At 43.0% G+C, this 19,011-nt stretch overlaps 1 annotated feature.

Moving 5' to 3' along the window:
• Positions 10,870-10,949: an enhancer, noted in NCBI's record as "active region_20792". NCBI's record gives its function as "activates an Ori minimal core promoter by ATAC-STARR-seq in GM12878 lymphoblastoid cells {active_cell/tissue: GM12878}" and the evidence as "EXISTENCE:reporter gene assay evidence [ECO:0000049][PMID:35858748]".

Raw genomic sequence — 19,011 nt, 5'->3', positions numbered from 1 at the left:
AAACCAAGGCATAGCAGACTCTATGGAAAGTGGCCGGGTGCAGTGGCTCACACCTGTAATCCCAGCACTTTGAGAGGCCAAGGCGGGCAGATCGCCTGAGGTCAGGAGCTCGAGACCAGTCTGGCTAACATAGTGAAACCCTGTCTTTACTGAAAATGCAAATATTAACCAGGCATGTTGGTGGGTGCCTGTGATCCCAGCTACTTGGGAGCCTGAGGCAGGAGAATTACTTGAACCCGGGAGACAGAGGTTGTAGTGAGCTGAGATCGTGCCATTGCACTCCAGCCTGGACAACAGAGTGAGACTCCGTCTTTTTTTTTTTTTTTTTTTTTGAGGTGGAGTCTCACTCTGACGCCCAGGCTGGAGTACAGTGGCGCTATCTCGGCTCACTGCAAGCTCCGCTTCCCGGGTTCACGCCATTCTCCCGCCTCAGCCTCTCAAGTAGCTGGGATTACAGGCATGTGCCACAATGCCCGGCTAATTTTGTGTTTTTAGTAGAGACAGGGTTTCTCCATGTTGGTCAGGCTGGTCTCGAACTCCCAGCCTCAGGTAATCTGCCTGCCTCGGCCTCCCAAAGTGCTGGGATTACAGGCGTGAGCCACGCCCGGCCCAAGACTCCATCTCAAAAAAAAAGCAGACTCTATATGAGTTTAGAATATATTCCTAAGGCAATCCTGTTGTCTCTACACTTGACACGGAACTATCGAGACATATGATACTGTGGCACGTGACACAGAACTATCAAGGGATCGGCACGGGTTGGTGTAGTTTAACCCAGAGATTCAATTCAAATGATGTCCCCAGAATTTGGCTTCTCTCAATCTCTCTTCTCTGTCCTTCTTCATGTTGGCTTCATTCTCAGGCTTCACGTGGTGGTAGCCTATCTGGACTTATAGCTTCCACACAGGTTCTGGAATTTACTATGATTAGACTCATTTGGGAATGACTTAAATAAGGAGTGACATTGAGCTGGAACTTAAAGGAAGAATGAGATTTGTGAATGGTTGCCCAAAAATAGCCTGAGCAAAGGCATAAGGATATGTGAGAGCTTGGAATGTTTGGGGAAGTCCAAAATTCTAACTCTTCAGAGGTATGTGTGGTGGGCATTGGAGGAGGTGAATAGTGAAGTGGCCAATTTTTATCCAGAATTTTAGATGGCATCCCTACCCAATCTACATAATTTTGGCGAACATCATTCCTCCTACTCTCTCTACTTGCTAAGGAATGACATAGATTGCCAGAAAACAACTACCAGAAGCTAAATGAGAGACATGGAACAGTTCCTTCCCTCACAGCCCTCAGAAGAAACCAACTCTACTGATGTCTTAATTTCACACTTCCAGCTTCCAGAACTGTGAGACAATACCTTTCTGTGGTTTAAGCCACCTAGTCTGTATTACTTTGTTATAGCAGTCTTAGCAAACTAGTATGGAAGGGAGAGCACAGATAAAAGATGTGTTATCAATCAAGTCACCAGTGTGAGCAAATAGATCCTAATCCCACTGGAGAACTCTGGCAGACAGTGTAGAATGTACAACTCAAAATTATCCTGCCAGACAGACCCCAACAGTAATGGGTAAAGATTTGAATAGATATTTTTCCCAAGAAGATATACAAATGGCCAGTAAGTACAAGAAAAGATGTTCAACATCATTCATCATTAGGGAAACACAAATCAAAACCACAATGAGATATGTCACACCCACCAGGATAACCACAATTAAAAAGACGATAATAACAAATGTTAGTGAGAATGTGAAGGAATTAGAACTCTCATTCATTGCTGGTATGAATGAAAACTGGCATAACTGCCTTGGAAAACAGTTTTCCAGTTCTTAAAAAGTTAAACATAGAGTTATCCTATGACCCAGAAACTCCACTCCCAGTTGTTACATACCCAAGAAGATTGAAAAAAATATTCGCATGAAACTCGTACATGAATATTCACAGCAGCATTATTCAGAATAGCCAAAAGCGGAAAAAAAATCCAAGTGTCCATCAACTGATGAGTGGTTAAACAAAATGTGGTATATCCATGCAATGAAATAGATTTCAGCAATAAAAAGAAATAGATTATTGATATATGGTACAACATGAATAAATCTTGAAAACATTATGTTAAGTGACAGAAGCCAGTCATAAAAGCCCACATATTATATGACTCCATACAATATGTTTTATATAAAATTTATATAAAATTTCCAGAATAGGCAAATCCATAGAGATGGAAAATAGATTAATGTTTGCTAGCAGCTGGTGGGAGGGTGGAATGGGGAATTACTGCTAATAAGTACAGAATTTTTGTTTGGAGTGATGAAAATGAACTGAAATTAAACAGTGGTGATGGTTGCGCAGCTATTTTTAGTTAATATACTAAAAACCACTGAATTGTACACCTTAAAAGTATGAGCTTTATGGTATGTGAATTATATCTTAATAAAAATAAGAGGGACAAAATATTTTTAAAAAATTTTTATCCTGCCTGGGGGTGGAGGGAGCTGGAGTATTTATCTACCATCTTCTAACCATCATTGGTTTGAAGAATGCTCTGGGGATATATTTGATTCCCTGGAGCTTGTGGCCTGATTTGTGTAAAGATTTCAGAACCAGAGAGAGCCTTCAGGCAAAGATGTGCGAGTGTTGACACTTGGAAGTTGGGCACATGTATTTTTAGGAGCTATCCTTTCCAAAAGTGTAGAAAGTTCTCTATGGCTTATGGGCAAGTGTCCTTGCCTTCTGGGCTTATACAATACTGACTTCTTGTTGGTCTGTCTTCATATAAGTCAAAAGTAATCCCTAAACTTGAAAGTTGAAGGATTATATATGAGGGCTTTCCATGAAACATTTATTATTCAATTGATTTTGAGATTAGCCACAGTTATCTTAGCTGCAAATGGTGGAAATCAACCCTGACTAGAATGACCATACAGTTATGCATCGCTTAACGATGGGGATACATTGAGAAAAATGAGTCATTTGGTGATTTTGTCTTGTGAACATTATCAAGTGCACTTACACAAACCTACTGTAACCTACTACACACCTAGGCTATACGGTAGAGCCTATTGCTTTTAGGCTACAAGCCTGTACCTCATGTTACTGTACTGAATACCATAGGCAATTGTAACACAATGGTCAGTATTTGTGGGTCTAGACATAGAAGAGATACAATAAAAATATGGTATAAAAGATAAAAAATAGTACACTTATATGGGGCACTTGCCGTGAATGGAGCCTGCAGGACTGGAAGTTGCTGTGGGTATCAGTGAGTGAGCGGTGAGTGAATGTGAAGGCCTAGGACATCACCGTACACTACTCCTGTAGACGTTATAAACACTGTACATTTAGGCTATATTAAATTTATAAAGAACTATCTTTGTTCAATAATGAATTAACCTTAGCTTACTGTAGCTTTTATTTTATAAACTTAAAAAATTTTTAAGTGTTTTTGACTCTTGTAATAACACTTAGCTTAAGACACAAAGACATTGTACTATCGTACAAAAATATTTTCTTTTTTTTTTTGAGATGGAGTCTCTCTCTCTGTCACCCAGGCTGGAGTGCAGAAGCATGATCTTGGCTCACTACGACCTCCACCTCCCAGGTTCAAGCGATTCTCTTGCCTCAGCCTCCCAAGTAGCTGGGATTACAGACGTGCACCACCACGCCTGGCTAATTTTTGTATTTTTAGTACAGTCGGGGTTTCACCATGTTGGTCAGGCTGGTCTTGAACTCCTGACCTTGTGATCCGCCTGCCTCGGCCTCCCAAAGTGCTGGGATTACAGGCGTGAGCCACTGCCCCCGGCCTATTTTCTTTCTTTATATCCTTATTCTGTAAGCTTTTTTCTCTTTTTATTTTCAATTGTTTAAACTTTTAAAGTTTTTTTGTTAAAAACAAAGACACAAACGCACACATTAGCCTAGGCCTACCCAGGGCCGGGATCATCAGTGTCACTGTCTTCCACCTCCACATCTTGTCCCACTGGAAGGTCTTCAGGGGCAAAAACATCCATGGAGCTGTCATCTCCCATGATAAGAATGACTTCTTCCGGAATACCTCCTGTAGGACCTGCCTGAGGCTGTTCCACAGTTAATTTTAAAAAATATATAAGTAGCAGGAGTACAGTCTAAAATAATGATAAAAAGTATAGGATAGCAAATACATAAACCAGAAACATAGTCATTTATTATCAAGTGTTATGTACTATACATAATTTATGTGTTACACTTTTTTTTTTTTGAGACAGAGTCTCTCTCTGTTGCCCAGATTGGAGTGCAGTGGCGCCATCTTGGCTCACTGCAACCTCCGCCTCCTGGGTTCAAGCAGTTCTCCCTGCTTCAGCCTCCCGAGTAACTGGGATTACAGGGGCCCACCACCATGCCAGGCTAATTTTTGTAGGTTAGTAGAGACGGGGTTTCGCCATGTTGGTCCAGGCTGGTCTCGAACTCCTGACCTCAGGTGATCCGCCTGCCTCGGCCTCCCAAAGTGCTAGGATTACAGGTGTGAGCCACAGCGCTCAGCACGTGTTACACTTTTATATGACTGGGAGCACAGGTTTGTTTACACCAGCATCCCCACAAACACGTGAGTAATGTATTGCACTACCACATTATGATGGCTATGACATCACTAGGCAATAGGAAATTTTCAGCTCCATTATAGTCTTATGGGACCACCATCATATGTGAGGTCCATCATTTACCAAAATGTCATTATGCAATGCATGACTATAATAAAAAAAGATGGTTAATAACAAGTGTTCATGAGGACATGGAGAAATTGGAACCCTCATTCATTGCTGTAAAAAGAAAATGAATTTATTGTAAAAGTTTCAGTGGCCCCAAGACTTACTGGAAAAGCTGGAGAATCAGGCTCAAACGGTGGGAAAGAACAGAGGAAACCACACTGTGAGAACCAAAGCCAAAGTCAGGACACAGGAGGTGTTGCCAGAACACTGGTGCTTCCTTCAGCAGTGCAGGCTTGAAATGGTTACCTTCTCACACAGCGGATGAAGCCAGCATTAGGCAGGATTTTTAATCCGGGGCTACCTAAATCCAAAGCCACACACTCTTTTCTGAGTTTTCAATTTCTTTATAAGTAAAATGAACACAGAAGGCAACTATGAATAATGATGCCACAAGGGATTTAGACAGCGTCCCTAAGTGCCAGATGCAATTTAAGAGGTATTATTATTACATACAGCCAGAATCTACAATCATATCTCTGTCTCAAACAACTAATAGCCGAGGTTGCCAGGCAATTATATTTGTCAGGCACGAGTCTACAGTGAGCAGGTAAATGATCTACACCCCAGACACAATAAAAGATTTAGTCCCTCCTCCCTTTTGTACTAATCTCCAGCTCAGATTTTCTGATCCTATTCTGTTTGCCTCCATTTCGAAAGCCCTTCCCTCATCCTGTATTTTTACCACCTGGTTCTATGTGTCACCAAATCTTCCTTATTTGCAGTCAGCTTTGTGAAAGAACTTTCAATGCTAGTTACTCTAGAACAACAACTCTCACACGTTTTGGGCTCAGGACCTTTTAACTACTTTTAAAAATTATTGAGAATGCCAAAGAGTCCTGTTGGTGTGGATTATTTGCTGCGGTTAGAAATTAAAACAGGCAGCTAAGCGTGGTGGCTCATGCCGGTAATCCTGGCACTTCGGGGGGCTGAGGTGGGCGGATCACGAGGTCAGGATTTCGAGACCAGCCTGACCAACATGATGAAACCCCATCTCTACTAAAAATACAAAAATTAACCTAGTGTGGTGGTACGTGGTGCCTATAATCCCAGCTACTCGGGAGGCTGAGGCAGGAGAATAGCTTGAGCCTGGGAGGCGGAGGTTTCAGTGAGCCGAGATCACGCCACTGCACTCCTGCCTGGGTGACAGAGAAAGACTCCGTCTCAAAAAAAAAAAAAAAAAAAAAAAAAGAAAAGAAATTAAAACAGGCAGTGGCTCACCCTGTAATCCCAGAGCTCTGGGAAGCTGAGGTGGGAGGATTGTTTGAGGCCAGGAGTTTGAGCCCAGCCTAGGCCACATAGCGAGACCCTGTTTCTACGAAAAATTTAATTAGCTGAGTGTGGTGGCACATGCCTGTAGTCCACGCTACTCAGGAAGCTGAGACAGGAGAATCCCTCGAGCCCAGGAGTTCGAGTTAGAGTGAACTATGATCATGCACTGTACTCCAGCCTGAGCAACAGAGTGAGACCTAGTCTCAAAATAAAAGAAAGATTAAAACATAAATTTTTAGAAACAATAATAAAAGAGGACACATTAACAGAAATAACATGTCTATGAAAAATAACTTTTTCAGAAAGAAAATGTTTGTGAGATGAGTGGCTGTTTTACATTTTTAACAAATCTGTTGAATATCTGGATGAATAGAAGAAAGCTAGATTCTCATGTCTGCCTCCGCATTCAATCTGTTCCCATATCACACTGGAAAACTCCACTTATGCTTGTGAGAGAATGAGAGTGAAAAGGCAACAACATCAGTATTATTACGAAAATATTTTGACCTTAAAGATATTCTGGAAAGAGACAATCAGGAAATCCCCCATCACAAGTTGAAAATTGATGCCATTTTTTTTTTTTTTTTGGAGATGGAGTCGTGCTCTGTTTCCCAAACTTGAGTGCAATGGTGTGATCTCAGCTCACTGCAACCTCTGCCTCCCTGGTTCAAGCAATCCTCCTGCCTCAGCCTCCTGAGTAGCTGGTCTTATAGGTACACGCCACCACGCCTAGCTAATCTTTTTATATTTTTTGTAGAGACAGGGTTTCATCATGTTGGCCAGACTGGTCTTGAACTCCTGACCTCAGGTGATCCGAGGCCACCTTGGCCTCCCAGAGTGCTGGGATTACAGGTGTGAGCCATGGCGCCTGGCCCCAATGCCATTTTTGATGCTCTTTTTCCCTTTGTGTGGATTCATTTTTCCATCTGTTAAGAAACTGTAGCCAGGTGTGCTGGCTCACACCTGTAATACTAGCACTTTGTGAGGCAAAGGTGGGAGGATTGCTTGAACCCAGGAGTTTGAGACCAGCCTGGGCAACATAAGGAGACCTCTTCTCCACACACACACAAAAATTTTAAATTAGCCAGGTGTGAGCAGGAGCGGTGGCTAACTCATTGTAGTCCCAGCACTTTGGGAGGCTGAGGTGGGCTGATCACCTGAGGTCAGGAGTTCAAGACCAGCTTGGCCAACATGGTGAAACACCGTCTCTACTAAAAATATAAAAATTAGCCAGGCGTGGTGGTGTGCACCTGCAATCCCAGCTACTAGGGAGGCTGAGGCAAGAGAATAGCTTGAGCCCCGGAGGTGGAGGTTGCAGTGAGCCTAGGTCGTGCCACTGTCCTCCAGCCTGGGCAACAGAGTGAGACTCTGTCTCAAAAAAATATTAGCCACATGTGATGGTGCACACCTGTGGTCCCAGCTACTCAGGAGGCTGAGTGGGAGAATTGCTTGAGCCTGGGAGGTTTCAGCTACAGTGAGCCATGATCGCACCACTGCACTTTAGCTTGGGTAACAGAGTGAGACCCTGTCTCAAAACAAAACAAAAAGCCATCAAACTGTCTTCCAAAGTGGCTATACTATTTTGTGTCTCCACTAGCAATAAATAAGAGTTCCTGCCGTTTCCCATCCTTTCCAGGATTTGGTGTTGTCAGTGCTTTGGATTTTGGCCATTCTAGGCAAGATGGGGAATGTTCAGGGTGGCATGGCCGTAGGTTATTTTGGCCATTCTAATAGGTATGTAGTGGTATCTCACTGTTTTAATTTGCAGTTCCTTAATGACATATGATGTAGAGCATCTTTTCATAGTTTTTTTTTCATCTGTGTGTCTTCTTTGTTGATGTATCTGTTCGTTTCTTTTGCCCATTTTTATATTGGGTTGTTTCATATCTTATTAAATTTTGTGAGTTCTATGTATATTTTAAATACAAATCCTTTATCAGAGAGGTGCTCAGCAAATATTTTCTCCTGGTCTGTGGCTTGTGTTTTCATACTCTTTTGCAGAGGATAAGAGTTTTTTGTTTGCTTGTTTTTGTTTTTTTGGTAGAGATTGGATCTTGTTATGTTGGCGAGGCTGGTGCCGAACTCCTAGTCTCAAGTGATCCTCTTGCTTCTGAGAGATCAAGTGCTGGGATTACAGGCATGAGCCACTACGATTAGTTATAAGTTTTTACTGTTAAGGAAGTCCAGCTTAACAATTTTTTCTTTTGTGGATTGTGCTTTTGTGTTGTATCTAAAATTCATTGCCAAATCGGAGGTTTAGGTTGGGTTTTTAGTTTTTATTTTTATTTTTGAGACGGAGTCTCGCTCTGTTGCCCAGACGGGAGTGCGGTGGCAAGATCTCGGCTCACTCCAAGCTCCGCCTCCCAGGTTCAAGCAATTCTTCCGCCTCAGCCTCCCAAGTAGCTGAGATTACAGGCATGTACCACCATGCCCGGCTAATTTTTGTATTTTTAGTAGAGATGGGTTTTCACCGTGTTGGATAGGCTGGTCTTGAATTCCTGACCTCAACTGATCTGCCCGCCTTGGCCTCCCAAAGTGCTGGGATAACAGGCGTGAGCCACCGTGCCCGGCCGAGCTTGGATTTTTAAAAAGCCACTGAATTGTGAGTGATTTGTTACACAGTATTGTTTTTACAAAGGCTAAAATTGATGTGTAATCCTTTAAATTTATTCAAAGCACAAAATTCGATTCAAATAATTTTTTTTCCACCCAAACATTTCTGGAAAGGCAGCTAATACATCTGCTTATTAGATTTCAAGGCAGTCACTTCAAGTCATCTTATTGTTTTAATTTATAGTTTTTGAAAATTAAAGGGGGTGAGAGAGATTTGAGACATTTGTTCTGATTTTCCCTCAGCTCTCCACTTCTGGAGATCCACTTTTCCAGTTGCTTTTAGCTGATAGTGACATTCTCCTGTTGCCTAAACCTGAATCTGCTGTTCCATCTTGGGAACAGTCCTTCAAGTTCCCAAGCTTCTGATTATTATCAGCTTTGAAGTTCTGCTGATTTCCTGCTGTTAACCCAAAGACAGATCCCTTTACACTTTCTCCATTCTACCTCCAAACAGGGCATTTGTCCTGAGATGTGACAGCACCTGCCTGCTCGTGTGGAGTGATCATCTTTGATGTTTGTTTACATCTTTGTTATTCATGTAGCTAATTTGGAATCAGACAAGACCTGAACTGGTCAATGTTTCAAGAAAATTATTGTCAACCCTGCTGCACTCAAAAAATGGAATGCCCGGCCCAGCTCAGTGGCTTATCCCTATAATCTGAGCATTTTGGGAGGTGGAGGTAGGAGGATCTCTTGAAGCCAGGAGTTCAAGACCAGCGTGGGCAACACAGTGAGACCGTGTCTCTATGAAAAATAAACATAATTAGCTGGGCATGATGTTGTGTGCCTGTAGTCCCAGCTACTCGGGAGGCTGAGGTGGGAGGATCACTTGAGCCTCAGAGGTCAAGGCTGCAGTGATCCATGATGGTGACACTGCATGCCAGCCTGGGTGACAGAACAAGACCCTGTCTCAAATAAATAAGTAAATAAATAAATGCCGGAATACTGTGGTATTAAATAGCATGCAGTTCAAGCAGGTGAAATGAAAAGACATGTATAATAAACTTCAGGCATTTATGACGCCAGCATTAGAAAAATGCTTGTAAGCATGCAGCTCTCCATGTAATGATGTGGGAAGATTCTCCAAGACATAGTGTTAAGTGACAAAAAGTAACTTACAGAAAGGGGATTTAATATGTGTCTTTGGATTAAAAAAGGAGTGGGAAAGGAAGGGAGTAAAAATAAGAACCTATATTTATACTTTAATATATGTGCATAAAGAAACTCTGGGCTGGGCACGGTGGCTCATGCCTGTAATCCCAGCACTTTGGGAGGCCAGGGCGGTCGGATCACCTGAGGTCAGAAGTTTGAGACCAGCCTGCCCAACATGTCAAAACCCCGTCTCTATTAAAAATACAAAAATTGGCTGGGCGCGGTGGCTCCCGCCTGTAATCCCAGCACTTTGGGAGGCTGAGGTGGGCAGATCACGAGGTCAGTAGATCGAGACCATCCTGGCTAACATGGTGAAACCCCGTCTCTATTAAAAATACAAAAAATCAGGTGGGCGTGGTAGCGGGCGCCTGTAGTCCCAGCTACTTGGGAGGCTGAGGCAGGAGAATGGCGTGAACCCAGGAGATGGAGCTTGCAGTGAGCCGAGATCACGCCACTGCATTCCAGCCTGGGCGACAGAGCGAGACTCTGTCTCAAATAAATAAATAAATATAAATAATTAAAAAATAAATTAAAAAATATAAATAAAAATACAAAAATTATGTGGGTATGGTGGTGGGCGCCTGTAATCCCAGCTACTAGGGAGGCTGAGGCACAAGAATCACTTGAACCCAGAGGCGAAGGTTGCAGTGAGCTGAGATCGCACCACTGCACTCCAGCCTGGGCGACAGAGTGAGACTCTGTCTCAAAAAAAAAAAGAAACTCTGGAAGGGGGTGAAGTGGAAGGGGAAACTGGGAAGATGCAGGGTAAGAAAGAAATGTTTCGCCTTTTATAATTTTTTATTTTTGAATCGTGAATATAATAAAAAACATTAAACTTTTAAAATAGAAAGAAAAGAGAAAGAAGAAGCTCTTGAAGACCTCTGAAATGCAGACGCTGGCAAGTTCCCACATAGGACTCTTGATTTTCTCAGTCTACCTCTTCTGGCCTCAGTTCCATCAGTCAAACACAGTCCATTTTTTCCATGTGTCTTCAGTTTCTCTCCCCAGCTTCTCCTTCTTGTGTGCATTCAGGTTTTCAATATCACCACGAACAAGTTCAAGTCATTCCTACCCTTGAGAAAAGGGGCTCTTTTAATCCTGCTGTCCCTCTAGTTACTTACATTGTTACTCTTTCCCCTCTCAGCCAGGCATTTTGAAAGATTGCGCTCACATCTCACCACTTCCTGTTCATTCACTCTCGACCTTGCTGCTGTCTGGCTCTTCCCCAGCCTCTGATGAAACTGCTCTTGCAAGCACTAAACTGACCTCCATATCGCAAAGCCCAATGCAATCCCTGCTGCATTTGACTCCACTGTTAGTAGCTTCATTCTTGACTCTTTCTCCATTGGCTGGTCTCACTGCTTTCCCTGCTTAGCTTTTACCTCTCGGAGTTTTTCCTCCAGCCTCCTGATGTGCTTCTCTATCTCTGCTCTGAAATGATGATGTCTCCACGATCCAACCTTGACTCAAGAGTCTTCCCTCTCTATTTGGCCTTCTTATTAATATCAACCACTTTCATGATTTTATCCACCAGCTGATGGTTGATCTGATGACTCCACAACTGGAGGCTCTAATTCTGTTCTTTCTCCCACCTTCACATTATTATATATATCAGTGGCCTGCTGGACATTTGCATCTGGTTGTCCCATTTTAACATAACATATTCAACACTGAACTACCAAACTAGATGCTCTTCTAAAGTCTCACAGTTTTCTTTTGGTCCATCTAGTTGCTCAGGCCAGAAACCTGGGATCACCCTAAATTCTGTCCTCTCCCTCTCCACAATCCACCTTTGCATCCTTTATCTTCTTAGTTATTCCTGCATCCACCCCATCTCAACCCCGCCTACTACCACTCTCCTCCTGAGATCATAAAGGTCTAAGCTAATTGAGAAGCAAGATGGTAGAGTCAAGAGACTTTTAACATACTTTAGTAAGTAAAGGATAATTTTGAGGTAGAGTGAAGAGACTTTGGTGACTAATATACATGCGTGGGGACTCAGGATGACTGAATTTTTAGCTGGGTCAGCTGTGACTTAGGGTCAGAAAGGGGAGCAGGCCTGCAGGGATGGAGATTAAAGTTCCATTAAAGTTCCATTTGGACATGTTAATATTGAGGTGCCCATGGGACTGAGACTCATAGTGAAAGTCCAGGTTGGAGCAAAAGATTGAGGGTCACATTTGAAGCAAAGGAAATGAATGTAATTACCCAAGGGAGTGTTTCAAATGAGCATGTACCAAGGAAGGAGTTTTGGAGACTCAAAGTTTCAGGAGCAAATAGAGAAGAAGGAGTGGCCAGAAGTAAAAAAAAAAAAAGAACCAGGAAAAAAGCCATGTCCTGGATGCTGAAGGAAGAAAGAATTTTATTTTATTATTATTCTGAGACAGGGTCTCCCTTTGTCACTCAGACTGGAGTGCAGTGGCAGGATCATGGCTCACTGCAACCTTGACCTCCTGAGCTCAAGCTATCCTCTGCCTTAGCCTCCTGAAGTAGCTGAGACTACAGGTGTATGTCACCATGCCAGGCTAATTTTAAAATTATTTTTGGGAGAGAGGGGGGGTCTCACTATGTTGCCCAGGCTGGTCTTGAAGTCCTGGGCTCAAGCAATTCTCCTGCTTCAGCCTCTCAAAGTGTTGGGATTACAGGTGGGATCCACCACACCAAGCTTGGAAGAGATAATTTTAAGAAGGTGAGAGGTGAAGGTTTGGATGCTGATGGTGAGGAACGATGCAGGGATAAAGTGGGATAAAGGCTGAAAAGAGGTTATTTGGCTCAGCAGTTGGGTGAGTTTGTACTCATTCAAATATTTCACTATTTGGGGGACTCTGCCTCTCACTAAGAATCTGAGAGGTAGCCGGGCACGGTGGCTCATGCCTGTAATCCCAGGACTTTGGGAGGCTGAGGCGGGCGGATCACGAGGTCCGGAGATCGAGACCATCCTGGCTAACACGGTGAAACCCCATCTCTACTAAAAATACAAAAAAAATTAGCCGGGTGTGGTGGCAGGCACCTGTAGTCCCAGCTACTGGGGAGGCTGAGGCAGGAGAATGGCATGAACCTGGGAGGTAGAGCTTGCAGTGAGCCGAGATGGCACCACTGTACTCCAGCCTGGGTGACAGAGCAAGACTCCATCTCAAAAAAAAAAAAAAAAAAGAATCTGAGGTGAGGGTAAATACTTCTTTTTTTCTGAATGAGAAGCCAGACCCCTTGATCCAAGCTCAACCAGTGGATGCTGCCATGGAGGACTTTGACTCTTGGAAGAGTGATGCAAAGAGTTGGGGCAGTCAGACCAGTCAAGGCAGAGGTGCAGCGAGAGGATGCAACAGCAATGAAGACCTAAGTAGCTTGTTCTGGTGGCTGGTCCTGGGCTGTCGGATATTTCCTGGTTCCTTTCTGTTTTCTAAGCTTTCTTTTCCAGCCTTCCTTTCAATCTTGGGAGCCATTTGCACCCTTCCCTAGAAAATCCCATTTCTGCTTCCTCTAGCCAGAGCTGGTTCAGTTCTTTGCAACCAAGAACTCTGAGATGTACAGAGATCTCAGCAGGAGTAATTTCAGAAGTTGGGTACAGGAACCAGCTTGCAGTGGGTTAAATTGAAGTGGAAAATAAGAATTATTAAAAAAAACAAGGAGCGATATGAGAATGCTTGGACACAGGGCAGGGAACATCACACACTGGGGCCTGTCAGGGGTTGGCGGGGCTGGGGGAGAGATAGCATTAGGAGAAATACCTAATGTAAGTGACGAGTTGATGGGTGCAGCAAACCAACATGGCACATGTATACCTATGTAACAAACCTGCACGTTGTGCACGTGTACCCTAGAACTTAAAGTATAATAATAATAATTAAAACAAAAACAAGGAGCGAAGGGAGAGAGAAAGGCACCTAAGAGAGAAGCAAGGCGGACAAAAGTTAGTTGTTGGAAAGGGAGGTCAGCAGGGCAGAAACCAGTGAAAAAAGCCACCAGAGTAAATTTCTTCCTCGCCTTGACATTTAAGGTCTCCTACAATATGATCCTTACTTGGGTTTCTAGACTCAACCCCCAATATTCCCTATGATTAAGCCACTCAGGACCCTTCATATTTTCCACAAAATGCCCCATTGTCTCTTTTGGTTTGCTTGTTTGTTTTTACTCAGGATATAACCTTGGCCTGAGGTGTGCCCACAGATTAGCCTGTCGATCCCACTGGTCCTCAAAGGCCTGTTTCTGATCCCTCAAATGAAGTGATTTCCTCTGACTTTAAAATTCCCAAGGCAACTCATACCTCTCTTATCATCTTAATCAGATCATGTCCTTGAATTATATGAGCTGCTTCCTGGCTGGGACTGTTTTCCCTGTGGCACTCACAGGAGGACTCACACAGGAGGTGCTCAGCATTCACTAGCGGATTCACAGTGAAGTGAACAGCAACATTCTTAGCAGGGACTGAGTTACAATGGTTAGAAGAGTTCTCTGGAAATTATTATTCTAACCAGTAGCATGTCCTCAGCAGACAATGGAGGCTCTGTTCATCAATGTTAGAATGGGGAGTTGAAGAAATGGAGTTGTACTTGGAGTCTCACTGTGTGGGAAACCTCATAATCATCAGTTGTGGGTCATTCTCCCATCTGGGGTGTCATTAGTAATCTGTACAAGGATCATGAAGGAACTGCTCCTATATACATTATGGATCTCACAATATTGAAAAGTCCAACACAAAAGACTCCATAATATGATTCCATTTACATGAAGTTCAAACACAGGCAAAACGAACCCATAGTGTTAAAAGTGTACATTGTGGGAGGCGAGGAGTCAGGTGGCTGAGAGGGTTCCCCCGGGTCTGGGAGTGGGGGTTCTAGGAGCTGATGTTCTGCCGCTTGGTCCAATGGTTACATGGGTGTGTCCACTTTGTGATAATTCATTGAACCATATACTTATGATTTGTACACTTTTCTTTAGGTATATTACATTTTATTTTAAAACATTAGCTGTGCATATGTTATGCCATAAAAAGATTGTAGTGAAAAACAAAAATCAATCAGGTGTTTCAGATGCTTAACTTTGAGCTTCTGTAAATGTTTTAATGAAACAAAATCAGCACCACGTGTATTTGTTATTAGTTATCCAATTATGCTGTACTAGCAGCAGAACATTAAAAGGCAACAGGAAGTTAGTTGCACACAACATTAAAGCAAACCACTCTCTTTCACTGCACAATTCCTAGCTACCTTGATTTGCAGGGGGATCGTATGTTGCTACAGAAGGGACTAAGTTTTATAGAAGACATTTGTTGAAAATTCTTAAAAATTCCCATAATTACATGTTGTATCAAAAAAGATAGTGAACAGGAAGGAAATGAAATTGTTCTCAGCAGCATTGAACAATGTCTTGTTGCTTCCTCTTTGTAATGTGGCAAGTGGGGGTAGGGTGAACAAAATGAGCATCCTGATGGATTTTATTTTAAGCAGGTTTCACTTTATGGTAAACACAAGATATTTTAGTGATAAATGGAATGCTTATTTGATATTGTCCCACATATTGTGACTTTGTGCTGGAAGCCTCTATACCAGAGGCCCAAGGAGTTATTCTTTTGTTCCTTTTTCTTTTTCCCTTTTTTTTTTTTTGAGACAGAGTCTCGCTCCTTTGCCCAGGATGGAGTGCAGTGGCCGCGATCTCAGCTCACTGCAACCTCTGCCTTCTGGGTTCAAGCGATTCTCCTGCCTCAGCCTCCTGAGTAGCTGGGATTACAGGCTCCCACCACCACGCCCGGCTGATTTTTGTATTTTTAGTAGAGACGGAGTTTCACCATGTTGGCCAGGCTGGTCTCAAACTCCTGAGAGCAGATGATCCGCACGCCTCTGCCTCCCAAAGTGCTGGGATTATGGGCATGAGCTTTCGCGCCCGGCCTGTTCCTTTCCTTTCTACTCCGTCAGTTAGTGGTTAGTTTTCACTTGGATTTGTAAACTCCTGGTGGGCAGTATTCCAAGTTCTCAGAAGCATTTGTGTCGGTGATAAAAAGGAAACAGAGACTAAGGAGTGATGGCTGCTGTAAAATCCTCCCTTGTGGAGTAAGAGCTCTCTGATCGCTCGCCTCTTTTTGCCTCCGCAATCCTTCACCATCTAACTTCTTTCTCAAAGCCTGCAGCACTTTGTTTGTGTCTGTTTGTTTGTTTGTTTGCCTTATCATAACCCTACCAGGCTGGAAGCTTTCCGATGGCGGAGATTGTAGCTTTTAGGGCAGAAGATGGATCTCCTCCGGCAACGTGTGCATGTGCAGGCAGCCGCTGGTTTCCTTGCTCCTTCCCCGGATTCTGAGCCGGGACTGTGGGTTCCTCATTTATATTATTGTTCAGCATATAGTCGAGGCTCAGTAAATGTTGGCTGAATGAAGAAAGAAAAGGATTGTGCAGCAGGTCTCCAGTTTTAAGATTCTTCAGGTGACTTGCCTTCTGAGTATTGCAGAGAACTGCCATTGCCTCCTGAGAAAAGCAGTCTACGGTCTGTGCTGGGAGTCTCAATGGCATTCCTCTGTCTGGTCACCGCATCCCTCTCAATCTGTGTGGTGGGGAATAAAGAATGTGAGGTGGCAATGGGGCTGAACATTCGAGCTCATTTTCCAGGAGTTGGTTCCCTTCTATAGGAACATTATCCGTGTATAATCGTGGCTTGGCATTGATGGAACTGTTCAAACAAACATGTCATGCTCCCACCAATACTGTTAATAAGAAACTTTGGGTGGAGGCAGAGGGAAGCACGAGACATCTGAATCTTGCATATGTTTTCTTTTTTTGACGGAGTCTCGCTCTGTCGCCCAGACGAGTGTAGTAGTGTGATCTCGGCTCACTGCAGCCTCTGCCTCCTAGGTTCAAGCAATTCTCCTGCCTCAGCCTCCCGACTAGCTGGGACTACAGGTGTGCACCTCTACACCCGGCTAATTTTTGTATTTTTAGTAGAGACAGGGTTTCACCATGTTGGCCAGGATGGTCTTGATCTCCTGACCTCATGATCCACCTGCCTCGGCCTCCCAAAGTGCTGGGATTACAGGTATGAGCCACCACGCCCGGCTGCATATGTTGTTTGTTAAGTAGTGAAATTTGCAATCAGTCCTTTGGAAGGAGACTAAATTAGGGGTGGGATGGAAGGTGAGATAGAAGACAGCATATGCGATTGAAAAGTGGAGAATTCTGATGGTTCTTTTATTAAAGGACAATAAGAAAAAAAGTTATTAAGAATAGGGTTTCAATTTTGTAATTGAACCCTGTGGAGTATATGCAACTAGAAAGATGGGATAGAGATGCAACTTGCTTTGCTTTATATAGTATCCAACCACTCTTTATAGCTGTGCAGTCTGTCAGATATTGTCCAGACTCTGTAAGTACAGACCAGTTTCTGCAGTTACTGCTCTTGTTTTCAAGAGCCTTGTTGTGTACTAATTTACTTGTTACTGCCCTTTATTTTTTTCTTTGCAGTGCAAAGTGCCATAATTGTTAAAGGTGTATGTATTTGAGGATATGGCAAGTTAATAATAAATTCTTCCTTCTAATCCCCTCGAATGTTGATCATTAAAAACACTGTAATGTGAAATACTTTGTAACATGCATTTACTATATACTTAGTCTAAGGATAACTTCACAATCTGAAGCTTGAAGTTGGTGAGCAGAAATACAATTTAAAATCATAAGCTGGTCAATAATTTGTTCTTCTGAAAAAATGGTGTCTTTGGTTCCACACAACATGTTCTTTTTCCAGATCGTTAATTTCTGAATACTCTTAATATAAAGTATACATGGTATGATCCCATTTATTTACTATCTCCTCACCTCAGTGAACAGAGACATACATGTTACACATATAAGAGCTATAGAAGGATATATATGAGTTTTAACAGTAGTTGTCTCTGAAGGTAGGTGCTATGGTTTCAATGTCCCCCTCAAAACTCATGCTGAAATTTAATTGCCATTGTGATGATATTAAGAGGTGGAACCTTTAAGAGGTGATTAGGCCATAAGGGCTCTGCCTTCACAGATGCATTGTTATTATCATGAGAGTGGGCTTGTTATAAAAGCCAGTTCAGCCCCCTCTTGCTCACTGGCTTTCATCTTGTCTTGCCCTTCTGCCTTCCACCATGGGATGCAGCATGAAAGCCCTCACTAGATCCCAGTGCCATGCTCTTGGACTTCTCAGCCTCCAAACTCATGAGTCAAATAAGCTTCTTTTTTTTTTTCTTGAGACAGAATCTCACTCTCTTGCCCAGGCTGGAGTGCAGTGGTGTGATCTCAGCTCACTGCAACCTCTGCCTCCTGGGTTCAAGCGATTCGCCTGTCACAGCCTCCCAAGTAACTGGGACTACAGGTGCACACCACCACACCCAGCTAATTTTTATATTTTCAGTAGAGTCGGGGTTTTGCCATGTTAGCCAGGCTGGTCTCGAACTCCTGACCTCAGGTGATCCACCCGCCTTGGCCTCCCAAAGTGGTGGGATTACAGGCATGAGCCACCATGCCCTGTCAGTTTATTTTCTTTATAAATTACCCAGTCTGTGGTATTCTGTTATAGCTACACAAAATGGACTAAGACAGTAGGTTTGTGAGTTTTCTGGTTATTTTTGCTTATAAGTTTCTGATTTTTCCGTAATAAGAAAATAAATTGTTTTTAACAACAAGAGGGGAGTTGTGGTTAGAATGTGTAAATCTGAGAAATACTGGAAGTATCCAGAAAATATCTAAGCCTTGCTCCTTGCCATGCCATTTTCTATGTGATTAGTGTAGTCTAAGATGCAAATCTGAATGTGTCACTCTCCTGCTTTGAGTCAATCTGCTCCAAAGGTATTTTAGTGTCACTGTTCATACTTACTGTGTGCAACTCAGTCATCTTTCAGTTCCCAGTGACAGAAATCTCATTCAAAATAACTGAGAAAAAATGATGAATCTGTTGGCTCATGCAACTGAAAAGCCCAGGGATGGCTTTAGGCCAGGCTAGATCTGGGAGTTCAAAGATGGCATTAAGGCCTTGTCTTCCTGATCCACCCTTGGTTCTGTTTTTTTCATGTTGGTTCTATTTCTAGACAGGCTCCATTCATGTGAAGGCAGCATAGCCATTGGTTTCTTCAGGTCCACATGGTCCTTGGAATTCAAGACCCCTGAGTAAATGAGAAGACTTCAATTGGCCTGGTGTGAACTGAGTGCTCATCCTTGAGGCCAGTCACCGTGGAATGGAATGAGGAGCACCACAGAAGGGAAAGGAATATTTT

The sequence above is a fragment of the Homo sapiens genome, chromosome 3, assembly GCF_000001405.40.
Source record: "Homo sapiens chromosome 3, GRCh38.p14 Primary Assembly".
Taxonomy (NCBI): Eukaryota; Metazoa; Chordata; class Mammalia; order Primates; family Hominidae; genus Homo; species Homo sapiens.
This window is presented reverse-complemented; position numbering and strand designations above follow the sequence as displayed.